The sequence below is a fragment of the Homo sapiens genome, chromosome 5, assembly GCF_000001405.40.
Source record: "Homo sapiens chromosome 5, GRCh38.p14 Primary Assembly".
Classification (NCBI taxonomy): Eukaryota; Metazoa; Chordata; class Mammalia; order Primates; family Hominidae; genus Homo; species Homo sapiens.
Genome location: NC_000005.10, coordinates 75,462,427 through 75,490,316, shown reverse-complemented (window position 1 = coordinate 75,490,316; position 27,890 = coordinate 75,462,427). Strand labels below are relative to the sequence as shown.

Genomic DNA, 27,890 nt, shown 5'->3' with positions numbered 1-27,890 from the left:
CAGAATGTGCAGGTTTGTTACATAGGTATACATGTGCCATGGTGGTTTGTTGCAACTGCCAACCTGTCATCTACACTAGGTATTTCTGCTAATGCTATGCCTCCCCTTGTCCCCAACCTCCCGACAGGCCCCGGCGTGTGATGTTCCCATCCCTGTGCTCATATGTTCTCATTGTTTACCTCCCACTTCTAAGTGAGAACATACGGTGTTTGGTTTTCTGTTCCTGTGTTAGTTTGCTGAGAATGATGGTTTCCACGTTCATCCATGTCCCTACAAAGGACATGAACTCATTCTTTTTTATGGCTGCATAGTATTCCATGGTGTATATGTGCCACATTTTCTTTATCCAGTCTAACATTGATGGGCAATTGCTGTTGTGAATAGTGCTGCAGTAAACATACGTATGCATGTGTCTTTATAGAAGAGTGATTTGTAATCCTTTGGGTATATACCCAGTAATGGCATTGCTTTCTAGATCCTTGAGGAATTGCCACACTATCTTCCACAATGGTTGAACTAATTTACACTCCCACCAACAGAGTAAAAGCGTTCCTATTTCTCCACATCCTCTCCAGCATCTATTGTTTCCTGACTTTTTAATGATCTCCATTCTAACTGGCGTCAGATGGTATCTCATTGTGGTTTTGATTTGCATTTCTCTAATGACCAGTGATAATGAGCTTTTTTTCATGTTTGTTGGCCACATAAATGTCTTCTCTTGAAAAGTGTCTGTTCATATCCATCGTCCATTTTTTGATTTTTTTTCTTATAAATCTGTTTAAGTTCCTTGTAGATTCTGCATATTGGCCATTTGTCAAATGGATAGACTGCAAAAATGTTCTCCCATTCTGTAGGTTGCCTGTTCACTCTGATGATAGTTTCTTTTGCTGTGCAGAAGCTCTTTAGTTTAATTAGATCCCATTTGTCAATTTTGGCTTTTGTTGCCATTGCTTTTGGTGTTTTAGTCATGAAGCCTTTGCCAATGCCTATGTCCTCAATGATATTGCCTAGGTTTTCTTCTAGGGTTTTTATGGTTTTGGGTCTTACATTTAAATCTTGAATCCATCTTAAGTTAATTTTTGTATAAGGTGTAAGGGAGGGGTCCAGTTTCAGTTTTCTGCATATGGCTAGCCAGTTTTCCCAACACCATTTATTAAATATGGAATCCTTTCTTCATTGCTTGTTTTTGTCAGGTTTGTCAGAGATCAGATGTTTGTAGATGTGTGGGTGTTATTTCTGAGGCCTCTATTCTGTTCTGGTCTATATATCTGTTTTGGTACCAGTACCATGCTGTTTTGGTTACTGTAGCCTTGTAGTATAGTTTGAAGTCAGGTAGCATGATGCCTCCAGCTTTGTTCTTTTTGCTTAGGATTGTCTTGGCTATATGGGCTCTGAAAAAAATTTTCTTTAATGAGGCTTTATTTAAAACCATAATCAAGGAAAAATGTCTCAGAATAGAGAAAGAGGCTGGAGGTACCCATTGAAAAGGATACTGGGTACTTGGGAAAATTAACCCAGAATGATAAACTGTGAACAGTAAAACTGTTAGATCAAATATAAAATTCTTCAAGGAAAAGGAACAAATCATAAAAGCAAAAATAATTGGATTAGCACCACACTTTACAAAATTAAGAAAGAAGGCAACAGGGAGCAGCGTTTTTAAACTTAGAAAAAAAATGTGGATCAAGGATTTTATGTCCAACCAAGTAGTCCTTTAAATATCAAGTCTTTTGAAAAGTGATTTTAAAATAAGCTATGTACAACTTTGATAAAAATTAAAACTTAAAATTTACAGTTTAGCAATACTATATGAAGTATATTTGCAAATAATTTATTAGTTTTTAAATTCACACTTTTTAGTGATAAATTTGCAAGTTCTATATAAAAGTAAATCTTTTTTGGAAGAAACAACATTTTCAAGTTACTATTTTTGTTGTTTAGAAGACTTGAATTGGCAAGAATTCATTTTTTTAAAAAAAATATTATGAGTACATAGTAGGTATTAATGGGGTAGATGAGATATTTTGATACAGGCATACAGTGTGTAATAATCACATCGTGGTAAATGCAGCATCCACCACAAGCTTTTATCATTTCTTTGTGTTACAAACATTCTATTTTTAGCTATTTTTAAATGTACAGTAAATTTTTGTTCACTCTAGTCACTGTGTTATGCTATCAAATACTAGATTCTTATTAATTCTATCTAACTATATTTTTGTACTTATTAACCCTCCACACTCCCTCCCTCTAATCTTCCCAGCCTCTGGTAACCATCATTGTACTTTCTGTTTTCATGAGTTCAATTCTTTTTATTTTTACCTCACACAAATTAGTAAGAACATGCAAAGTTTGTCTTTCTGTGCCTGGCTTATTTCACTTGACATAATGTCCTCCAGTTCCATCCATGTTATTTGAAATGACAGGATCGCATCCTTTTTAATGGCTCAATAGTAGTCCATTGTGTATATCTACCACATTTTCTTTATTCGTTCATCTGTTGTCGGACACTTATAATGGCCATTATAAATGGGATGAGATAATATCTCATTGTGGTTTTCAGTTGCATTTCTGTCATTAGTGTTGTTGAATACCTTTTCTCATATGTGCTTGCCCAGTGTATGTTGTCTTTTGAGTAATGTCTATTCAGATCTTTCAACCATTTTTTAAGTGGATTACTAGATTTCTTCTTATAGACTTCTCTCATCTCCTTGTATATTCTGGTTATTAATCCCTTGTCAGATGGGTAGCTTTCAAATATTTTCTCCCATTCTGTAGGTTGTCTCTTTGTTGATTATTTCTTTATCTGTAGAGACGCCTTTTAACTTGATGTGATCTCATTTGTCCATTTTTGCTCTGGTTGCCTGTGCATACGTGGTATTTCTCAAGAAATCTTTGACCAGTACAATGTTCTGGAGTTTCCCCAGTGTTTTCTTTTAGTAATTTCAGAGTTTGAGGCCTTAGATTTAAATATTTAATCCATTTGATATGATTTTAATGTATAGCAAGAGGTAGGGGTCTAGTTTCATTCTTCTGCTTATGAATATCCAGTTTTCCTAGCACTATTTATTGAAGCGACTGTCCTTTCCCCAATGTATGTTCTTGGCACTTTTCTCAAAAATAAGTTCACTGTAGGTGTGTGGATTTGTTTCTGAGCTCTGTTCTGTTTCACTGGTCTGTATATCTGTTTATATGCCAGTACCAAACTGTTTTGGTTACTATAGCTCTGTAGTATAATTTGAAGTCAGGTAGTGGGATTCCTACAGTTGTGTTCTTTTTGCTTAGGATATCTTTGGCTATTCTGGGTCTTTTGTGGTTCTGTATACATTTTAGGATTGTTTCTTGTGGTTTGGTGAACGATGTCATTGTTATTTTGATAGGGATTGCATCAAATCTGTAGATTGTTTTGGGTAGTATGGACATTTTAACAATATTGATTCTTCCAGTCCATGAATATGTGATATCTTTCCGTTGTTTTGTGTCCTCTTCAGTTTCTTGAATCGCTGTTTTATAGTTTTCATTGTAGAGATCTTTCACTTCTTTGGTTAAGTTTATTCCTAGGTATCTTATTTTATTTCTAGCTATTATAAATGGAATTACTTGATTTCTTTTTCAGGTTTTTATTGGCATATAGACATGCTGTTGATTTTTGTGTATGTATTTTTGTATCCTGCAACTTTACTGAATGTATCAGTTCTAATAGTTTTGGTGGAGTTTTTAGGTTGTTTCAAATATAAGGTCATTATCATTTCCAGATAAGCATAATTTGATTTCTTTCTTTCCAATTCATATACCCTTCATTTCTTTCTCTTTTTCAATTGCTCTAGCTGGGACTTTCAGTCCTATGTTGAATAGCAATGGTGAAGGTGAACATCTTTGTCTTTCAGATCTTACAGGAAAGGCTTTCACTTTTGTTCCATTTATTATGATACAGGCCATGGGTCTGTTGTGTATGACTTTTATTATGTTGATGTATGTTTTTTCTATGCCCAGTTTTGTGAGGGTTTTTATCATGAGAGGATGTTGAATTTTATCAGTTTTCTCAGCATCAATTTAAATGACTTTATGGTTTTTGTCCTTCATTCTGTGGATATAATGTACCACGTAGATTTGCGTATGTTGAACCATCCTTGCATCCCTGGGATAAATTCCATGTGGTCATGATGAATAATCTTTTTAATGTGTTGTTGAATTCAGTTTGATAGTATTTTGTTGAGGATTTTTGTATCAATGTTCGCCAGGGATATTGGCCGGCAATTTTCTTTGTTTGATGTGTCTTTGTCTGTTTTTGGTATCTGGGTAATACTAGCCTCATAGAATGAGTTTGGAAGTATCTCCTGCTCTGTTTTTCGGAATAGTTTGAGTAGGATTGGTTTAGTTCTTCCTTCGGTGTTCAGTAACGTTCAACAGTGAAGCCACTGGGTCTCAGGCTTTTCTTTGCTGAGACTTTTTATTACAGCTTTGACCTTACAACTTGTTATTGGTCTCTTAAGGTTTTAAATTTCTTCCTGGTTCAATATTGGTAGGTTGTATCTGTCTAGGAATGTATTCATTTCTTCTAGGTTTTCCAATTCTTGGCATATAGTTGCTTATAGTAGCCTCTAATAATCTTTTGAATTTCTGCAGTATCAGTTATAATGTCTCCCTTTTCATCTCTGATTTTATCTATTTGGGTCTTCTCTCTTTTTCTTAGGTTGTTGATCAAAGGTTTGTCAATTTTGTTTATCTTTTCAAAAAACCAACTTTTCATTTCATTGATCTTTTGTATTTTTTTGTTTCAATTTCATTTGTCTCTGATGTTTATTATTTATTCTGCTAATTTGGGGTTTGGTTTGCTCTTTTCTTTCTTTAAGATGCATCATTAGGTTGTCTATTTGAAGGTTTTCTACATTTTTTATCTAAGTGCTTATTAATATAAATGTCCCTCTTAGTACTACTTTCACTGTATACCATAGGCTCTCTTTCCTTTCTTTTTGTTCTTTTTTTTTTTTTTTTTTTTTTTTTGTATTTTTGTGTAGACAGTGTCTTGGTTTATTGCTCAGGCTCATCTTGAACTCTTGCCTTCAAGCAGTCCTCCTGCATTGGTCTCCCAAAATGTTAGGATTACTGGTGTGAAACACCACTCCCAACCTCCCATGTATGTTTTTGTGTGTTTTATTTCCACTTTCATTTGTTTCAAAAAAATTGTTTAATTTTCTTCTTTTTTCATTGGCCCAAACTGGTCATTCTGGAGCGTGTTGTTTAGTTCCAAGTTTCTCTTGTTATTGAATTGTAGTATTATTGCATTGTGGTCAGAGAAGGTACTTGATAATGATTTCAGTTATTTTGAATTTTTTGATTTATTTTGTGGCCTAACATATGGTCTGGCCTTGAGAGTGATCCATGTGCTGAGGAGAATGTGTCCTCTACAACTGTTGTATAACATGATCTGTAAATATCTTTTAGGTCCATTTGGTCTATAGTATAGATTAAGTCTGATGTTTCTTGATTTTCTGTCTGAAATGATCTGTCCAGTGCTGAAAGTGGGGTGTTGAAGTCTCCAGCTATTGTATAATGGTCTCTCTCTTTAGTTCTGTTAATATTTGCTTTATATATCTGGGTGGTCTAGTGTTGCATATATATTTACTATTATTATATCCTTCTGAATTAACCCCTTTGTCATTATGTAACGACCTTCTTATTTCTTGTTGGTTTTGTCTTGAAATGTTGTCTAAGAATAGCTAAGCCTGCTATTTTTTGCTTTCCATTGGCATGGAATATCTTTTTCCATTCTTTTATTTTCAGTCTGTGTCTTTATAGATGACGTGTATTTCTTGTAGGCAACAGATCATTGGGTCTTGCTTTTTTTTTTTTTAATCCATTCAGTCACTCTGTCTTTTGATTGGAGAGTTTAGTCCATATACATTCATACTGTTATTAATAAGCAAGGATTTACTCCTGCCATTTTGTTATTTGTTTTCTGGTTATTTTGTGGTCTTCTTTTTTTTCTTTCTTTCCTGTTTTTTTTTTCTTTTTATGTTCGTGTGCCGGTGATTCTCTCTGGTGGTATGTTTTAATTTTTTGCTTTTTGTCTGTTGCAGGTTTTGTCTGTTGTCTGTTGTAGATTCGATGTTACCATGAGGCTTTCAAATAACAAGCCATTATTTTAGACTCATGATAACTTAGCACTGGTTACAAAAAGAAACAAACTAAGAAACAGAGAGAATTCATAAAAACTCTATAATTTTATCACCCCCCACTTTTAAACTTTTTATTGTTTCTCTTTATATGTTATACTGTCTGTGTCTTCAAAAGTTGATGTAGTTATCATTTTTTGTAGGTTCATCTTTTAGTCTTACTACTCAAGATATGAGTAGTTTACACACCACAATTAAGGTGTTATATATTCTGTGATTGTGTACATACTATTAGTGATTTTTGTAACTTCAGATGATTTCTTATTGCTCGTTAATGTCTTTTTTTTTTTCCCCAGACTGAAGAACTTCCTTTAGCAGCTCTTACAAGACAGGTCTAGTGTTGAAGTCCCTCAGCTTTTGTTTTTCTGTGAAAGTCTTTATTTTTCCATCATGTTTGAAGGATATTTTTGCTGGATATACTATTCTAAGATAAAAGTTTTTTTCAGCACTTTATTTCATGTTCTATAATGTTTCTACTGAGAAGTCTTCTGCTAGATGTATTGGAGCTCCATTGTATATTGTTTCTTTTCTCTTGCTACTTTTAGGATCTTTATGCTTAATCTTAATGCCTTGATGTAGACTTATTTGGATTAAATCTTCTTGATGTTCTATAACCTTCTTATATGTTCATATTGATCTCTGTGTTTGTTAATTTCTCTGTTGTTATCGCTTTGAATCAAACTTTCTACCTTCACCTCACTCTCTATTTATACTTTAAGGCCAGTGACTCTTAGAGTTGCCCTTTTGGGGGTATTTTGTAGATCTTGTAGGCTTGCTACATTCTTTATTCTTTTTTTATCTCCTCTGACTATATTTTCAAATAGCCTGTCTTCAAGCTCACTCATTGTATCTTCTGCATAATTAATTATGCTGTTGAGAGACACTGATGTATATTTCATTTTATCAATTGGATTTTTCAGCTCTAGAATTTCCACTTGATTTCATTAAATTTGTACAGTTTGTTAAATTCAGATAGGAGTCTGAATTTCTTCTCTGTTTATCTTCAGCTTCATTGAGCTAACTCAAAATAGCTATTTTGAATACCGTATCTTAAAGGGCACATTTCTCTGTCATTCTGGGATTTATCACTGGTGCCTTACTTAGTTTGTTTGGTGAGGTCATGTTTTCCTGGATGTTCTTAATGCTATGGATGTTCATTGATTTCTGGTCATTGAAAAGTTAGGTATTTATTACAGTCTTCGCAGTGTGGGCTTCTTTGTACCCATTCTTCTTAGGAAGGTTTTCCAAGTGTTCAATGGGAACTGACTGTTGTGATCAGTCCCTAGTTGCTATAGCGGTATCTGCATTAGGTGGCACCCCAAGCCTAGTAATGCTGTGACTCTTGCAGACTCACAAATAGTACTGCCTTGCTGATCTTGGGTATAATCCAAGAGAATTCTCTGGATTACCAGGCGGAAACTCTTGTCCTCTACCCTTTCCCCTAAATGGAGTTTCTTTGCGTTGAGCTGCCTGGAGCTGGGGTAAAGGTGACACAAGCACCACTGTGGCCACTACCACTGGGACTATCCTGGGTCAGACCCACAGCCACCACAGCACTGGGTCTTGCCCAAGGCCCACAGTGACTACTGTCTGACTACTGCTGGTATTTACTCAAGGCCTAAAGGCTCTCCAGTAGGTGTCAGTCAGTAGGTGACAAATTTAGCCAGGCTATGTCCTTCCCTTTAGGGTGGCAAGCTACCCCCTGGGCCGGGGCCTGGAGTCAGAATCCTTAGGTGTCTACTTGGTGCTCTATTTTACTGGGGCTGAACTAGCACCCAAGCCACAAGTCCTTCCACTCTTCTCTTACCTTTCCTCATGATAGAGTGCCTTCGTGTGTTAACCACCACCCCAGGCCTGTAATGAGTACTGCCTGGATACTGCCAATGTTCACTCAAGGTCCAAGGGCTCTTTAGTCATCTTGTGGTGAATCCTGCAAGGCCTGGGTCTCTCCTTTTAGGGTAGCGAGCTCCCTTCTGGCCCAGGGCTGGTCTAGAAATGGCATCCAGGAGCCAAGGCCTGGAATTTGGGACCCCAAGAGCCCATCTGGTGCTCTATCCCAGGAAAGAAGTAGTTTTAGAAGCTAAGTTAAGGTCATTAAAATATATTTTTATCAAGTAATTATAATCAAATAAGTTCTGGTAAGGTCCTGTAACATTCCGGTAACATTGTAAAAATATATTTTGGGATCTCTGACATCCCATTATTTTGTATGCTAATCCTACTAGATTGTGATTCATATGAGAGGAGAGATCATATATAACCACAAAATTAGCATTTTCTTTTATTATCATTGTAGCCAAAAATCACAGTAATATTGTCAGTGTCCGTGCCTTCGAGAGCAAAAATTAAAGACGGGGTTTTGTTTTATTTAGAGATTCTCAGAATTGAAGAGTTAAACTAATCAAGCAGATACATCAAGTCAATATGTTATATGAAAGAACTGGAAATGAATAATTAATAGTTATAATTAGCTTTCCTATATATTTTCCTGAAAAATTTGCAGTTAAGATTTACAAACAGAAAACAAATTGTTTAAGATATTTTACATTTGGGGATGATATAGTTATTCAGACTGACTTTGGGAGTCTGTTCCTCTTAGGCTGTTAAGCACATTTTTATTAAGTAGCTTTTGTTATTTTAACATCTTTTATTGTAGGGTGGGCTGGGAAGGTTTCTCTGGCTAAATATTACCGTATTTTAATTAGTTTGATGCCACTAAATTTAAGGTGCACCGTATAATTATATACTATAGTAACTATTCAAATTTATATCATTTGTAGGATATATCCTTATTTCAGGGATGTAAAACTGTGTGTGTATTGGGGCAGTTTTTATAATGAGTGAAATGGGGAATTTGAGAAGCAGTCTGAAGGTGGGAAAGGAATGAGTCATGCCATTTAGAAGAAGTGGTGACCAGGTGAGAAGGAACAGCAGTTGTAAAGGACAACCAAAGCTAGTTAAAGAAGGCCAATACGACTGGAGCAGAGTAGACACGGGGAAAGCAAAGTGGTAGTGAGGCCTGGTTGTGGAGAGCCTTGTGGATCATCCATAAGGACTTTGACTTTAATGCTGAGCGAGATGGGAAGTTGCTGGAGGTTTGAGCAGAGGAGTGATTTGATCCGTGCAACAGGATCACTTGGGCTGCTGTGTTAAGAATAGATTGTAGGAGGCAGGGATGGAAGCAGGAAAATAGAATCAGGCAGCCTTTAAAGGCTGTTGCAGGTAATCCAGATGAGAGATGCTGGTGGCTGGGACCAGAGTTAACAGTGGTGGAGATTACGAAAAGCACTTGGATTCTGGATTTCTTTTGAAGGCAAAGCTGACAAGATTTGCAGATTTGCTAATGAATTCCTATGGAGTGTGAGAGAAATGAGAAATCAGATTATTCAGGTCGAAGCAACTGTATTGTTACCATTTACAGAAATGTGGAAGCCTTCTTGAGGAAGGCAAATCAGATGATCAATTTTGGATTATGTTGAGAAGGCTGTTAGGCATTATCAGAAGATAATAGAGAGAGCAACTGAGTAAAAAAGTCTGGAGACCAGGGAAGAGGGCCCAGTTGGAGTTATGTGTATGCATGCACACGTATGCGTATATTACGTAGGGCATGTATGCGTGTGAGTTTATCGTTTGATTCTTGCAGCATTGACGATTGCTTCAGAATTCCATTTTTCCCCCTTGTGTTTAGTCTGTGATTTTATTATTAGAGGTTTTCTTCAAATGTCTGATGAGCTTTGGCTCTCCTTAACAATGAGATATAAGGAGAGATTAAGCAACCAGCTTCTACAAAGGACTTTCATGAGGGAAGGAAGAATAGAGTTGACCGATGGTGTATTTTTAAGTATCGTTTTTGTTTTTTAACTTATTTTGAAATCATTTCACATAGAAAAGTTGCAAGAATAATGTAGGTAACTCCTGTAAGTACCTAGGTTCAGAATATTATGTAAATGATGTAGTGTTTTTCTCAGGGTATCACATTAGAGACATAGATAGTGGTCCCTCATTTGACAGTAATTTCAAGAATCCAGCAAAGGGCCAAGGGGTTGTCTAGTTTTTCTTCTTTGTAGTTTCTGTATCTCCTTGAAACTAGAAGGTAAGGTCCATGGAATATATGTTAAGACTGTGTAAACAATAAGATACCATCTCACACCTGTCAGAATGGCTATTATTAAAAAGTCAAAAAACAACAGATGCTGGCAAGGTTGCAGAGAAAAGGTAACACTTACATACTGTTGGTGGGAGCATAAATTAGTTCAACCATTGTGGAAAGCAGTATGGCGATTCCTCACAGAGCTAAAAGCAAAACTACCATTCAACCCAGCAATTCCATTACTGAATATATACCTAGAGGAATATAAATCCTTCTGCCATAAAGACACATGCACTCGAATGTTCATTGCAGCACTATTCACAATAAAAAAAAGACATGGAGTCAACCTAAATGTCCATCAGTGACAGATTAGATAAAGAAAATGTGGTACATAGACACCATGGAATACTATGCAGACATAAAAAAGAGTGAGATCACGTCTTTTGCAGGAACGTGGATGGAGCTGGAGACTATTATCCTTAGCATAGTAATGCAGGAAGAGTACCACATGTTCTCATTTATAAGTGGGAACTAAATGGTGGGAACTCATTAACACAGAGAAGGGAACAATGGACTCTGGGGTCTACTTGAGGGTAGAGGGTGAGAAGAAGAAGAGGAGCAGAATAGATAACTATTGGGTACTGGGTTTAATACCTGGGTGATGAAACAATCTGTACAGCAAACCCCTGTGGTAAGAGTTCACCTATGTAACAAACCTTCACATGTACCCCCAAACCTAAAATAAAAGTTAAAAAAAAAGACTGTAAAAATCTTATTCCATCATCATCCTTTTCTCTAATTTAGCAATTATTTATGATGCCTCACCCACTGAATCTTAGTTTAATAATGTTTGCAAAGTAGTGAGTTTTTTAATGCTGCAAGCATTGCAGAGTTTATCAGCTAGCATATTATTATTAAAAACTCAACAAAACACAGTCTTTTTTTTTGTCCCATTTAATATCATAGGGGACTTACCTGTTTCTGCTTAATATTGAATGTGTTATAATCCATTACTGTACTTATATATTTTGATGATCAAAATTGTCCTAGATATGGCTAATAGAAGCACCTTCGAGCTGATTTCTTGGTCCTTTTGACAAACGCGTGTGGCTTTTTTTTTTTTTTTTTTTTTTTTTTTTTTAGTACTTACTTTCAAGCTCAAGATTTTCCGGATTCATCTTATCTTACACCTCCCTTGCCCCAGTCCTGGACCATTTCTCTGAGGAGCCTTGCTTGCTTTGGATGGAGAAATAGTATCAGATAGGGGGTAGAGGGTGAGAGTTTCACTACTCAATATAGGCTTTGCCTTGATCTTTCTGTTTTGAACCCTTTTCCTCAGCTTTCTTTGATAGTGCTTACTTTAGGGGTTCTTTCAATTCAACATATCCAAATAGAAAACCTCTAGTCTTCTGCTAGAAGGGTAATTTGGTTATTTTTAGGGATGGTGTCTAAGCAGACTAATTGCTTCTTACTTTTAATCAGTTCTTCTGTTTATAGCTTCAGAGGAATCTAGTGTTTGAAGTTGCTGATTCTCATTCTTTTTATTCTTTCTGTGGTTCTTTGACACAAATAAGATTGCATCTTATCTTGTCCTCCGTCACTGCACACTTAGATTTCCCTAGTCACCTGTGACATCTTAATTTGCTCGTTTGCTTTCAGATATCTAAAATTTGATTGAATTCTCTTTTTTTGTTGTGTTTTTTCCTCTTTTCTTTTCTTTTTTTTATTTTTTTTTTAGAGGCAGAGTCTTGCTCTGTCACCCAGGCTGGAATGCAGCAGCAGGATCTTGGCTCACTGCACCCTCCGCCCTAAGGGTTCAAGCAATTCTCCTGTCTCAGCCTCCCAAGTAGCTGGGATTACAGGTGCTGCGCCACCACACCTGGCTAATTTTTCTGTTTTTAGTAGAGACTGGGTTTTGCCATGTTGGTCAGGCTAGTCTCGAACTCCTGACTTCAGGTGATCTGCCCGCCTCAGCCTCCCAAAGTGCTGGGATTACAGGCGTGAGTCACTGTGCCCGGCCTCTTCCTTCTAATCTTCTTATTTCTAGTTTAATGCCTTTTTTTATCTTTTAAGTGGGGTTTGTTAAGTCAAGATGAATGTATCAATCTGCCACCATATTTACCCACAGGTCTTATGTATTTTTAAATGAACTTTTTTTCCTTTAACAAAAGTATTATGTATCATTTATGGAAAATACAGGTAAGCAAATGAAAACAATTAGTAAATGAAAACAATTAGCTCTACTCATATAGTTTAGAGGTAGTTACTGTTAATCCTTGATGTGATTTTTTTTATATATACAAACTTGCTTATTAAAATAGCTGGATAATATTCTATAGAGTAGGTATCATATTAGGCTTTTTGTTGTTGTTGTTTGGTTGTTTTTTTTTTTTTTTTTTTTTTACAACTTATTAGACCTTTACTCTCATTGAAGTGACCTTCTATGAACTTATATATGCTATATATCATTATGGTCGGGACATGAGGGTAAGCAATAAGGCAGTTACAAAACCCCAGAAATTTTTAGAAATCACACTAAGAGGTTTTAAAGACTGTGCCAGAGGAGATTTTGGTAGTATCATAGTTCATGTCTTTCATGAGCTGGGATGTAGTTTCATGGAAACACAACAGAGAGTAGAAAACCTAACCAATTTTACCGTATTTTATCTTAAAAAAAAAGACTATTACTGTGTTACATACAGACTTTCAACCTGCCCTGTCTTCAGCCCAGCTGTACCCTTGATGTTATGGATCAGAGAAAGCCAAGTAAGGGGAGAGCCAATAAGCAGTATCAAAATGAGGCCAAGACATTTAGAAATTTACTTACAAAGATGGTTTACAAGAGAATACAGACTTCAGAAGAACCAACTCTCCAAATAAAAATGCTGTCAGTTTTAAAGGGGGGAAAATAAGATTCCAAAGTTTCCATCTAGTCTCTACATAGTAGGAAAAACAACCGTTTTTCATACTTTGCATATGATTATCATATCTGCAAAGGTTATCATGTATCTTCAGATAACACCTTTGCAGAAGTCAAGGACATAGGGAGTCAGTAGTTAAAGGAACAGCTCAAGGTTTTGTTAATTTGGGAATTTGGGGGACTTTAAAACTAAGTGAGATGACTGGATTTTTTTTTCCCCCATCTCGGAGTACAAAGTGTCTTTTCCCCTTGACTTTTGAATGTGATGTGCAGGCTTTTCCATAGTTACGCAGAACAAGGCATCAGTTTTGCCTCCAAGGAAGGGCATTATGCATGGAAAAGAAAAACCGAAGTATTTTTCACTGTCTCCAGTGTTGTTTAGGATAGCAGCAGAAGTATTTTACTATCCAGTTCTGATGGTTTTGATATATCCAACAAGTTATCATTTTGATTACCTAACTACCTTTGCTCTAGTTTCTTATTTTCAAGCCTTTAAATAGAATGAGAAGCATGTGTGAATAGGTGGGAGTTAGAGGTTAAAATTTTAGATAAGGTGGCAAAGGAAGGGATTCACTTGAGTCAAAACCTTAAGGAAGTAACAGCTAAACAATGAATATATTTGGAGGAGAGTATTCTAGGAAGAGGAAAGAGCGGCTCTGAGGTTAATTCAGGGGTATAGAATTTGTCGTGGAGAGCACTGAAGGACTTTGAACAGAGGAGTGACATGATTTGGTTTTCCTTTTAATCATTCCGTTATATATACTAAATACATGGTAATAGATAGTGATAGGTGCAAAAAAAAAAATCACAATTTCCATGCTTTTCTTATATCTTAACAGAGTTGGGATACAGTTATCTGAAGCCCAGTGTTACAAATTGGAATCAAGAAAACAACCTCTTTAACTTACCATTTAATTCATCTACAACTTAAAATGTTTTATGCTGCCAGATTATCTAAAGCTTGTTTCTTTTGTCCACCTTTGTTTGTGTTTTTATGTTAAATAAATAATCCCTATGAATTGATAGAGACAGATGTTTTAGAGAAGCTTGTATTGTTTCAAAACTAAATTAGTGTTTTTTAAAACTTGATTTTTTATTGAATAAAAAATAGGTTTTTTAAAGCATATAACTGACATTTGAGTGCTTTTACTATTCCAAACATTGCTCAAAATGTTTTCACTATTTGCACATGCAAAATGTGGATTATCACATTCTGTCCTCTCAAAAATCCAGTGAAATAAGTTTTATTATTACCCCCACATTCATAGATAAGGAATTGGAACTTCAGAGAGTTTAAATTGCCTAAGGTTACAAAAGTTTATATACCATCTGTGACCTCTGATAGGCTGGAAAGTAACATAAGCAAGTTCTGTATATGAATATACTGATTCCAAGGAAAGCTAAATTGGTAATTGTTGGAAAAAGAAAAAAAAAAGGCTAATATTAAGCCCCCAAGCAGGAAAACAAGTATCTGAAAGAACAGACCTTTGGCAAGTTTTAAGAAAAGGGACCCCAGGAACAGTGTAATTTTCAAAGGATATGTTAATCGTGGTATTCACCGTGTTTTGCGAAAATGCCTCAGGAGCCATTTGGTGAGAGTGACAATGATCTTGAGGGGAAAAGAAAATGGTAGGGCTCTTCTTTCCTTCCCCATTCCCATACATTTTAAAAATATGTAGGTATTAAAGTTAAGATTTGGGAAGGTGGGGCAGCAGCAGACAGGGTTCTATCACTTAAAACGAAAATTGGGAAAACATTACACTAAATTTGGTGCTACTGGTCACTAAAAGTCTTTTCACTCTCTTTATTTTGATCCCATGCTGAAACTTTTATATTTGATTTTTCTGAATAGGATTCTTACAAGGAGCACATTTACCAGAAAATTGAAATGTCTGGCTATCATGGCATTTGTTCCTTGCTATAAATCATTAAATTGTCAGTATGGTATGTTCATTGATACATTCCTAAATCTCTTAGAAGCATCGTAGGTTAGACTTGAGAGTCTCTCTATGTCTGGGGCACTGACAAGATGTAGTTTCTAGATTTGCAGAACTTTGTTTACATGCCTTGGACTGTGGGTATTTTCCCAGTATCATACCATGTATGTTAGGTACTAGATATAGCTAGTTGGCCTCCTTTAACACCTCAGTCCTCATTGTGTCATTAGCCTGCCCAGTGGATGATAATCTCATGTAGTCTATTAGACTCCCTCAAATAGACTACATGAGATTATTAGACTCATATAGTCTAATAGACTACATGAGATTATTAGACTCATATAGTCTAATAGACTACATGAGATTATTAGACTCCCTCTAGTAGAAGAAGGCATAGGAGCTTTCTTCTACTAGTTTCATAGTTTTAGATATTTTATTTCAGATTTTAATTCACTTACAATTGAATTTTGCATATGGTGAGAAGTAAGCATTTAATTTCATTGTTCTGCATGTGGATATCCAGTTTTCCTAACACGATTTGTTAAAGAGACTGTCTCTCTAGTAGAGGGAGTCTAATAGACTACATGAGACTATCATCCACTGGGCAGGCTAAATTCATTATTAGTAAGGCTAAATTCATTATTCTTCAGATTGGATTAGTGCCTAAAATCATTTATTTTTAACTGACTTCCGTGATATACTAAGAGAACAGATCTTCTACTTGATTAAGCTGTGGGTTCTACTGTCAGGTATTTTCATTACAACTTTATTTCACCAAACTGTAACTGTAGCAGGACGAGCCGCAGACAAAACCTCTCAGACACCGAGTTGTAGAAGGAAGGGCTTTATTCAGCTGGGAGCATTGGCAAGCTACTGCCTCAAAATCCGAGCTCCTCAAGTGCACAATTTCTGTCCCTTTTAAGGGCTCACAACACTAAAGATTTCACATGAAAGGGTCGTGATTGATTTGAGCAAGCAGGGGGTACGTGACAGGGGCTGCATGCACTGGTGGTCAGAGAGAAACAGAACAGGGCAGGGAGTTTCACAGCGTTCTTCTATACAATGTCTGGAATCTATGAATAACATCGGTTTTTAAGTTATGAGTTGATTTTTAACTACTGGGTTTAGGCCAGGCAGGCCCATGTCCAGTTTTGGGCCTGGTGCCGGGCTGCCTGTCTTTGGTTTTACTTCCCTGTTGTTTTTTCTTAGAACAGGTACTGAGTATAAAATAATATGAGAGGGTCTTTCTCTTCCTTCATAACAATGATTAAGATTGACAGCCAGCCCTTTTATTTTAAAGTAACTTTTTTTTACATTTTAAAAAAATTAATTTTAAAAGTTGACATGTAACATGTATTTATTGTACACAACATGCTTTTTTGAAGTATATATACATTGTGAAATGGTTAAGTCTAGCTAACAAATATATTACCTCACATAGTTATCATTTTTGCAGTGAGAATACTGAGCATCCACTCTCAGCATTTTTCAAGAACATAGTATGTAATCATTAACTATAGTCACCACGTTGTACAATTTATCTCTTAAACTTAATCCTCCTATCTAACCATAAGTATGTGTCCTTTAACCAACATCTCCCTAACCCTCCTCACCTGCTAAACACTCCAGACTCTGGTAACTACCATTCTACTCTCTATTTCCATGAGATCAACTTTTTTAAGATTCTACATATGAGGGAAATAATGCGTTATTTGTCTGTCTGTGCCAGGCTTGTTTCATTTAATGCCCTCCAGATTCATTCATATTGTCAAAAATGACAGCATTTTCTTCTTTTAAATTCCTGAATCAGTCAGATTTGGTGGCTCATGCCTGTAATTCCAGCACTTTGGGAGGTCCAGACTGGAGGATCACTTGAAGCCAGGACTTCAAGACAGCTTGAGCAGCATAGCATAGCAAGACCCTGTCCCTACAAAAAATTTAAAAAATGAGCTAGGCATGGTAGAATGTGCCTGCAGTCCTAGCTACTGAGGAGGGTGGGGCAGGAGGATCACTTCACCCCAAGAGTCCAAGGTTGCAGTGAGCTATGATCATGCCACTGCTCTCCAGCCTGGGCAACAGAGCAAGACCCTGTGTCTTAAAAAAACAACAAAAAAATGGCTGCGTAGTATTCCATTGTGTTCATATACTATATTTTCTTTATCCATTCATCTGTTAATGGACACTGAGGTTGATTCCATATCTTGGCTGTTGTGAATAGCTATAATAAAAGTAGGAAGTACAGATGTCTCTTCAACATACTGATTTTATTTACTTTAGATATATACCAAGGAGTGGCATTACTGAATTATATGGTAGTTTTTTTTTAATTTTTCGAGGAACCTCCATGGTGTTTTCTTTAGTGGCTCTACTAATTCACATTACCAACAAGTGTAGGAGGATTCCCTTTTCTCCACACTCTTGCCAACACTTAACTCTATTTTGTCTTTTTGCTAATAGCCATTTCAACAGGAGATAATATCTCATTATGGTTTTCATTTGTATTTGCCTGATGATTTATGACATTGAGCATTTTTTCATATACCTGTTGACAATTTATATGTTTTCTTCTGAGAAATGTTTGTTCAGGTGTTTGTGCATTTTTTTAATTGGGTTATTTTCTTGTTATTGAGTTGAGTTCCTGATATTTTTCGGATATTAATCCCTTATCAGAGATATAGTTTGCAGATATTTTCTCCCATTCTGTGGGTTTTCTCTTCACTTTGTTGATTGCTTCTTTTGCTGTGCAGAAGCTTTTTAGTTTGTTGAAATCTCATCTATTTTTTATTTTGTTGCCTATGCTTTTGAGGTTTCATTCAAAAAATTCTTGCCAGACCAATGTCATGGAGCATTGCTCCTGTGCTTTCTTCTACTAGTTTCATAGTTTTAGGTCTTATATTTCAGATTTTAATTCACTTTCAGTTGAATTTTGCATAATAGTGAGAAGTAAGCATTTAATTTCATTCTTCTGCATGTGGATATCCAGTTTTCCTAACACTATTTGTTAAAGAGACTGTCCTTTCCCCATTGTGTGTTTTTCACATCTCTGTCAAAAATTAGTTGGTTGTAAATGCATGGATTTATTTCTGGACTCTATTCTATTACAATGGTCTGTGTGTCTATTTTTATGCTAGTTACCTGTTGATTTGATTCCTATAGTTTTGTGTAGTATATTTTGAAGTCAGGTAGTGTGATCCTCTCCAGCATTGTTCTTCTTGCTTAAGATTCCTTTGGCTCTTTGGGGTCTTTTCTGGTTCCACATGAGTTTTAGGATTACCTTTTCTGTTTTTATGAAAAATGTCATTGGTATCTTAAGAAGGATTGCATTGAATCTGTAGATTGCTTTGGGTAGTGTAGACATTTTAACAATACAGTCATGTGTCACACAGTGATGTTTCAGTCATCAGCCTACCACCTTTTCTTTTTTTTTTTTTTTTTTTTTGAGATGAAGTCTCACTCTGTCACAAGGCTGGAGTGCAGTGGCGCAATCTTGGCTCACTGCAACCTCTGCCTCCCAGGTTCAAGCAATTCTACCTCAGCCTCCCGAGTAGCTGGGACTACAGGCATGCGCCACCATGCCCAGCTAATATTTTTATTTTCAGTAGAGATGGGGTTTCACCATGTTGGCCAGGATGGTCTCAATCTCTTGACCTCATGATCTGCCTGCCTCAGCCTCCCAAAATGCTGGGATTACAGGCATGAGCCACCACGTCTGCCCAGCATACCACTTCTAAGCCAGTAGTCCCATAAGGTCATAATGGGGCTGAAGATTATCTATCACCTAATGATGTTGTAGCCATCATAAGACCACAGCTTAATGCATAACCATTTCTATTTTTAGATACACAAATAGTTACCCTTGTATAATAATTGTCTAAAGTATTCAGTAGAGTAACATGCTGTCCAGGTTTGTAGCTTGGAAGCAATAAGCTGTACTGTATAGCTTAGGTGAGTAGTAGGAGTAGTAGGCTATACCATCTAGATATGTATAGCTGACGAAATCACCAAAAAGCATATTTCTCAGAACACATCCCCATTGCTAAGTGACACAAGACTGTATAAATTCTTCTAATTCATGAACATGGGATCTCATTCCATTTATTTTTGTCTTCTATTTCTTTCTTGAATGTTTTATAGTTTTCAGTGTAGAGATCTTTCACTTCCTTGGTTGAATTTATTCCTAAGTATTTTATTTTCTTTTTGTAGCTATTCTAAATGGGATTATTTTCTTCTTTTTTTTCCCCAGATAGTTCATTGTTAGTGTATAAAAACACTAGTGATTTTTTTATGTTGATTTTGTTCCCTGCAAGCTTACTGAATTCATTTATTAGTTCTGACGGTATTTTGGTGGAGTCTTTAGGGTTTTCTATATATAAGGGTCATGTAATCTGCAGACAGGGACAATTTAATTTATTTCTTTTGTCTTGCCTAATTGTTCTGGCTAGGACTTCTAGTACTATGCTGAATAGAAGTTGCAAGAGTCGGTATTCTTGTCTTGTTCAGGATCTTGGAGAAAAAGCTCAACTTTTCCCTGTTCAGTGTATTAGCTGTGAGTTGTTGCATATGGCCTTTAGTGTGTTGAGGTACATTTCTTCTATAACTAATTTGTTGAGTGTTTTTATGAAAGGATGTTGAATTTTGTCCAGTGCTTTTTCTGCATCTATTGATCATAGGGTTTTTGTCCATCAATTCTGTTAATGTGATGTACCACATTTATTGATTTGTTTGTGTTGAACCATTGTTGGATCATTGCATCACTTGATCATGATGTTTAATTTCCATGTATGTGTGAATTTTCCAAAGCTCCTCCTTTTATTGACTTCTAGTTTTATACCATTGTGGTCAGAAAAGATACTCTATATGATTTCAGTTTTCTTAAATTTGTTAAGATTTGTTTTGTGGTCTAACATATCTATTGTGAGGAACGTCCCATGTGTAGTTAAGAAGAATAATATATTCTGCAACTGAAATGTTCTGTGTATATGTGTTAGGCCCATTTGGTCCAGAGTATAGTTTAATTCTGATGTTTTCTTGTTAATTTTCTCTCTAGATGATCTGTCCATTGCTGAAAGTGAGGTGTTGAATTTCCCTACTATTATTGTGTGTAGTCTTTCTCTCCAGATCTGTTAATATATGCTTTATATATTTAGGTGTTCCAGTGTTGGATGCATATTATATTTATAATTGTGATATCCTCTTGCTGAATTATCAATATATAATAACCTTTGTCTCTTTTTTAGTTTTTGACTTAAAGTCTATTTCATCTGATAGAAGTATAGCTATTCCTACTGTCTTTTGGTTTCTAGTTGCATAGAATATCTTTTTAAATCTCTTTACTTTCAGTATGTATATGTTGAAATGAGTCCCTTATAGGCAATATATAGATGGGTCTTTTTAAAAATCCAACCAGTCACTCTGTGTCTTTTGATTGGAGAATTTAATCCATTTATATTTAAGGCATTTATGTATTGATAGATAAGGGCTTAACTGCTGCCACTTGTTTCCTAATTGTTTTCTATTCTTACTGTCATTGTGGCTAAGTGATTATCTCTAATAGTACATTTGATTCCTTGCTTTATATTTATTTTTTGTATTTATTGCAGGTTTTTTGCTTTGTGATTACCATAAGGTTTACAAAAAAAAATAGTTATTTTAAACTGATAACAACCTAAAAATAAACTCTTTTTACTACACTGTCCCTCAGTGTTTTGAATTTTTGATGTTACAATTTACATCATTATTGCATATTCTTTACCAAATTTTGAATCCAGGTTTGCAAAGTTTTCTGTTCTTATTCTTTGAATAACCTTTCTACCTGTTTGCCTTTCTCTACTCCCTCTTGAACTCTAATGACTCAAAAATTTGCTTTTAATGCTATCTCATAAATTCCGTAAGCTTTCTTTTATTCCTTTTCAATCTTACTTCTTTTTTTCCTGACCATATATTTTCAAATAACCTGCCTTCAAGTTCACAGATCTTTTGCTTCTTTGATTTTGCTATTGATGTTCTTTATTGCATTTTTCATTTTATTCATTGTATTTTTCAGCTCCAGTATTTCTGTTTGATTTTCTTTTAATTATTATTTCAATCCATTAATTTTCTCATCTTGTCATTTGCTATTTTCCTCATTTTGTTCAATGTTTCTGTGTATTTTCTTGAAGTTCATTGAGCTTCCTTAAAATAGCTGTTTGAATTCTTTGTCAGACTTTTGAGACATCTCCATCTCTTTTGGGTTTGTCATTGGAAGTTTATTTTGTCTGTTTGATAAGGTCATGTTTCCCTGGTTGTTCTGGATCCTTCCTGTTGTGCATCTATATCCGCATGTTGAAGAAATAGGTACTTATTGGAATGTTTGCAGTCTGGCTTTATCTGGCTCTTTATCAGTAAGCATGTTGTTAGATCCTGGGCAGGTCATCTGGTGTGATCTCTAAGCCCATGACTGTTGCAACTGTTACAGCATTAGGCTTTCTGTACCCAGAATTACCATGGTCAGTATAACAATAGACTAGAATCTGTTGTTACCACGGCTGGCACAGCTCTGGGGTGCATCTGAAAATCATGAGGCCTACCTGTTACTGAGGTTTGACTGAAACCTAAGGCTGCTGTCATCATCCAGCAGTGATGGGAGCCAGAGATTGAGTCCATTTTGTGAGGGCTATAGTTTACCACCTGTCACTGGGATAGGTGAGGAGATTCAGTTCACAGATACCAACCTGGATTCAGTTACCATGAGGGGTCTGCCTGGCACTGGATTTTTACTGTGGCAGGCCCAGTATTAGGAACCAAGGGAAAGTCCTACACTTCTCTTTTTTTCCTCAAGCAGAGGAGATATCTCTGCATTCTGCTGAGTAGGATTGTGGGAGGGTTGACACAGATACTGTAAAATTATCCTTTCTACCCTCTTCAATGGGTATTTTCTTATTAGTATGCCATAAACAGGTATTGTGAACTTTCACTTGGTTTTCTCAGCTCTTTTGAAGATGTGTTAATGCATGGATAGTTATTCAAAATGATGTTTCCACAGGGGGATGATCACTGGAGAGTCCTCTTTCTCCATCTGGCTCTGCCTTCTTATAACATTAATTTGTTTCATTACAAAAGTAATGTCTATCCATTATCAAACTCTTACCAAATACAAAAATTTCTAAAGAAGAAAACCACTTGTAATTCTAACACTAAGGGCCAACCACTTTTTGCATTTTGTTGAATGTTTAAGTTTTTCACTTACAAAAACTTGTAAAATTTAGAAGTAATTGTACATTCTTAAAATCTTGTAAAAATAGAGTAAATGGGTTCCATTTATTCATCCAGTTTCCATCTATGGTCTGATTTTACATAGCTATAGTAAAATATCAAAAACAGGAAATTAACATTGGTACAACTCACCTTAATTTATATTTTACCAGTTTTACATATACTCATCTGTGCATCTGTGTAGTTCTATGCAAATTTATCACTTAGATTCTTGTAACAATCATCACAGTCAAATTACAGAACTGTTTTATTGCCCCATAGATTTCTTATGCTACTTTTTTTTTTTTTTTTTCTTTTTTTTGGAGACAGAGTCTCACTCTGTTGCCCAGGCTGGAGTGCTATGGCACAATCTTGGCTCACTGCAGCCTCTGCCTCTCTGGTTCAAGCGATCCTCTGGACTCAGCCTCCCAAGTAGCTGGGACTACAGGCATGCACCACCATGCCCAGCTAATTTTTGTATTTTTGGTAGAGATGGGGTTTCGCCATGTTGACCAGGCTAGTCTTGAACCCTGAGCTCAAGCTATCTGCCCACCTCAGCCTCCCAAAGTGCTAGGATTACAGGCGTGAGCTACCACGTCCGGCTTCATATGCTACCTCTTTATAGTTACAACTTTCTCCCTTCATTCTACTCTCTAATCCCTAACCGCTGGAAACCACTAAGCTGTTCTGCAGTCCCATAATTTTATTATCTTGAGGATTTTATAAAAGTGGAATCATACAGTATATAGCTTTTTGAGATTGGCTTATTTCACTCAGCATAATTTCCTTGAGAATCCACTAAGTTGCTGAATGCATCAATAATTGGTTCCTTTTTATTGCTGGGTAGTATTCCATCTCTGTACCACAGTTTAGGCATTCACCAATTGAAGGACATTTGGGTTATTTCCAGTTTGGGGCTGTTACAAATAAAGCTTTTATGAATATTTTTCTGTATGTTTTTGTGTGGACATTAGTTTTCTGAATTTTATGTTCAGCATTCAATAAAGAGGATCACCTGGAACCAGAAACCACATTAGATATTTTAGCAGAAAGTGTTTAATATAGGAAATTGTTCAAACAGTTGTGGGAGAAGTGAAAGAATAAAAGAAAAACATTGAGGTAATACAGAAGTGATAATTGCAAGGACCAGCTTCTAATTCTTAGACTACAGCAACAAAGAGAAGTGGTTTGGGTTATCAGAACCTGTAAGTATGGAGGGATAGTCCTGCAGAGGTGGGACTCAGAAGAAAAGTTGCTGCCTGCTGGTGTTTGTACCATTACCTTAGGACCCTCCTGGAATGAGGCTTAATAAACCTCTGAGCTGAAAGGGCCACCTAGCTAATGAGTACTTCCGGAACTCAGAGAAAGGATCTCTGAAGAGTTGAGGCTCAGCTGGAGAGGGTTGCTCTTTATCTGCTCTTGTTATCTCAGAAGCTTAAAGGAAGTGCTTTGTGCAGCTGGGTCTCAGACATCTAGAAGGGGGATTATAGCTCGTGTATCTTATACTCGAATATCCCACTAATCTGTAAAGGAAATGTTGTGGAGCGACACCTCATACAACTAAGAAGTGGCGCATGCGTAGCTGGTACTGGCATCTCTGAGGTATCTAGATGAAGCTGGTCCAGGGAGTTTTAAAAGAACCTTTTGAGTGGAACTGACTGCCACTGCCAGGGCTAAGGACTTTTGCTGGGCAGATGCTGATGGAAACAGTGTGCAGACAGCAAGGTGCAAGTTCCTTCTATCTTGTTCCTGGCTTCTAATCCTTATCTAATGTCCCACATTGACAGAACCCAATAAAAGGGGGCTGGCAGAGGAGAAATATAGTTTGCAGCATCCCAGTTCCAGTAGCACAAAACAGTATATAGAAGGGTGGATTTAAGAGAGATAATAGGTTGTTAAGTGGCATTCTTATCATCAAAATCCTTTTTGCTTTTGAGGAATTCCCCACTATGTGAGTGGAAGGTCTCCTTCAAATGATCTGTAAAGACCAGATACTTAATTGCTTCCTCTATCCTACAATCTCCTATCTTGTTAACTCCCCTTAGTTAGCATATGGGCATATGAATTAGGCCTAAACTATCAGAATGTTGCGCTGTCCTTCTCTACCCCCCCTTTTCCTTGTTTTCCTCTCCAGCCTTACTTTGATTCTATAACAGGACCAATACAGAGAATCAAGAGACAGGAAGTTTTTCTTCTGATAGTGCTGGCAGCAGGAGAATGCAGTTTCCAGTAGAAGCAGTGCCAGTAGTGGCTTTACAGGGTCCAGAAGTGGAAGCAGTCCTGTCCATACAAATGGCACCTGTGGTGCAATCCCAGCAGGGGTTTTTGTTGCCTAGTCTACCCTGGCTCCTTTCCATTTTCTGATCTCAGTTCTTTGTATTTCTTAGCAATATGAACTGCCTAATACCTTCTAAATGAATTCCTTTTCTTCTTAAGTGAGCAAGAATCAATTTCTGTGGCTTACAATATAGAGCACTGATTGATTCATCTTGTTTGTACCTAATAGGATTCATTTAGCTGTCTTGTTGAGTAAAGAAATTCTAATATTTTGTGTTTATTTGTAAAAACAGAAAAGAGATGCTAGACTTAGACAATTTTAAGTCTTCAGCCTCACAAGTGTTTGGCAGGATATTTGGAAATTATCAGATATCCTACTGTCAGGGTAGAATAGGGTCAAATCTCCATTGTGATGGTGGTGCTAAGTGTCTGTAACTCTAACAGAAAAATCAGCCAACCATTTTTCTGACTGGTAGAACCTGGGAAAGTTACTTGCTTTAACCAGGGCTATTAGAAAGCAAGTTGAAAACTTGAAAAAGGAGAGAGCTAGAGGAAGGGATCTCAGAATTGTATATATAAACTCTTCAAGTCTCTGGTTGACTCCTGAACCATGCATGTGTGCACCTGACTGAGAGCAGTCTGAACCATGTCCGTCATGGCAGAGATGTGAGAGAGCTAAAACTCCATTAAAGAAAACCTGCCATCATTTTAGCTGTAGGAACCAGGCAAAAGAACCTAGATAGTAAGGAGATAATCCTAAATTACAGCGCCAGAGAAAGAGAACCTAAAATTCTGAGTATAAAACTCCGGGCCACTTGCGGTGGCTCATGCCTCTAGTCCCAGCACTTTGGGAGATCAAGGCAGATGGGTTGTGTGAGTCCAGGAGCTCGAGACCAGGGCCTGGGCAACATGGCAAGACCTTGTTTCTACAAAAAATACAAAAATTATCCAGGTGTAGTGGCATGCATCTGTGGTCTCAGCTACTCCAGAGGCTGAGGTGGGAGGATCATGTGAGCCCAGGAGGCAGAGGTTGCAGTGAGCCAAGATTGCACCACTCCAGCCTAGGTCACAAAGTGAGACGCTGTGTCCAAAAAACAAACAAAAAACACTGCTCAAGTCTTTACCAGACCACCCTGGGCAACAATGCAAGTTTGGGCCCTAGCCTTCTGGGTGCCAAGAAGGGGAAAGAGGCCTTAAATATGAAGACTTTTCTTTATCTGCTTGCCTTCACCCGCATCCCCCATAGCACCCTGTACCCTATTCTCTGTAAGAATGTCTGATTTAGTCTGTCCAGAGGGTGGAGAGTAGGGCCTCTAATGTTACTATGCGGTAGGTGAGTAGTCACCAATGCTTGGGATGGGCATGTGGGGTTTCAGGGGTCTAGTTGCACCTTTTAATGACTCAGTCAATTCTGGTCTCAGCTCCATCCATGCCTTAACCTCTAGTGCTACCTGCTGCCTCCAGTTCCTTTACTTCTCCAATGTTGTGTGCAAATTGGCTTGATTCTTTTGTCTTCTTTTCCCTGGTAGATTTTTAATTTTCAGTTTTCTCAAGCCTGTGAAACTGGTCCAGTTTTCCCATAGAACTGATGTTTATGGTTTCTTTTGCATAAACCTAGCACTTGACCCTCCCAGTCTTGAAACTTGAGAAAGTTACATTTGTCTTATCTGAATTCCTTTCTCAGGAAGCCAACCATCAGGCCTCCCAGGTAGTATCAAAGAACTGAAAACTTACCAGATCACTGCATCTGGACAATGAGATGCCAGAACTCTTACCTGGCATAAGTGCCTAACCAACCACCTGCTTCCTGTTGAGCAACTCCTTTTCCTTACCCCTCCCTAAGTCTTATGTTTCCACACATGGTTATATTTCTTCCCTCCTCTATAGACCCCTGATTTTAGTTAATCGGGGAGATAGATTTGAGACTGACCTCCCGTCTCAACTTTAGCACCCTATAAAGCCTTCTTCCCTGGCAATAATCATTGTCTCAGTGATTGGCTTGCTGTGCTGTGAGCAGCAGGACCTAGACCAAACCCCTGGTGTTTTGGTAACACCTGTTAAGTCATTTACCACATTCCAACTGTGAATTTTGGTGATAAGTTTTTTCTTTTTCTTTTGGACATTTATGTCTCTTTTGTTCCTATAAGGTTATTTTGGTAGGGAGTAGGTATAAGTGCCATGGATTTATTCACCTTTTGAAATTTTTTTGTCCTTAACAGTGAGTGTTGACATGAGAAAATATGGAACCCACTTTTTTATAGATGTCTTTTTCCTGTAGCATGCATTCTTAGTGGTGGTGATACTTGGTTCTTCGGGAGGGTTGAAATCATAGATAAAACAATGGTTTATGGCCCCAAAAAATTCTAATGGACAAAAATCTTATCCTTAGTATTTAATTGTGGGGTAGAGGGTTTGGTAATGCAAAAACCTTGAGAAACAGTGTCCTATAGCATTTCCTTTATTCTTGAAATTAATTAACTTTACAGAATATATATTCGTGTTAATCTTTCTGTGTCTGTTTTTCCTGGGCATAGTGTGTCTTTCTGTTATGTATGTTATATTTTCATGTTTGAAAACACCAGCTAAAGTATTTGCTTTATCTCCTTTGATACTCTACATTATTATATTTCTTTCATTTTGTGCTTTTCTCAAATCTGTTTAACATGTCCATGACTTTTTTTTTTTTTTTTTTTTTTGAGACGGAGTCTTGCTCTGTCGCCGGGCTGGAGTACAGTAGCGCCATCTTGGTTCACTGCAACTTCTACCTCCCGGGTTCAAGTGATTCTCCTGCCTCAGCCTCCTGAGTAGCTGGGACTACAGGCGCGCGCCACCACACCCAGCTAATTTTTGTATTTTTAGTAGAGATGGGGTTTCACCATGTTGGACAAGATGGTCTCGATCTCCTGACCCCGTGATCCACCCACCTCGCCTCCCAAAGTGCTGGGATTACAGGCGTGGGCCATCCATGACTTTTTAAACCTGGCTTTTTGTTGTTGTTTCCCACGTTTTTAACTCTGTTTTTTGTTTTTTTAACTCTGTCAGCCCTCTTTTCATCACTTGTCACCTTAATTCTTCTTTAAACTTTTTAGTCTTTTTTTCCTTTAGATCGGGGGTCCTCAAACCCTGGGCCACAGACCAGTACCAGTCCATGGCCTGTTAGGAACCAGGCCGCACACCAGGAGGTGAGTGTCAGGCAAGCCGACATTACCTCCTGAGCTCTGCCTCCTGTCAGATCAGCAGCAGCATTAGATTCTCATAGG

At 37.0% G+C, this 27,890-nt stretch overlaps 1 protein-coding gene across 9 annotated transcripts in view, besides 2 other annotated features; it reads left to right on the top strand.

Annotated features, from left to right (window-relative positions):
- CERT1 (ceramide transporter 1) overlaps nucleotides 1-27,890 on the top strand; it is a 143,496-nt gene that overhangs the window by 21,665 nt on the left and 93,941 nt on the right. The window lies entirely within an intron of this gene.
- Nucleotides 21,156-21,356: a silencer, noted in NCBI's record as "peak5294 fragment used in MPRA reporter construct". NCBI's record gives its function as "represses an SCP1 promoter by STARR-seq MPRAs in K562 erythroleukemia cells {active_cell/tissue: K562}" and the evidence as "EXISTENCE:reporter gene assay evidence [ECO:0000049][PMID:32103011]".
- Nucleotides 24,286-24,486: a silencer, noted in NCBI's record as "peak5293 fragment used in MPRA reporter construct". NCBI's record gives its function as "represses an SCP1 promoter by STARR-seq MPRAs in K562 erythroleukemia cells {active_cell/tissue: K562}" and the evidence as "EXISTENCE:reporter gene assay evidence [ECO:0000049][PMID:32103011]".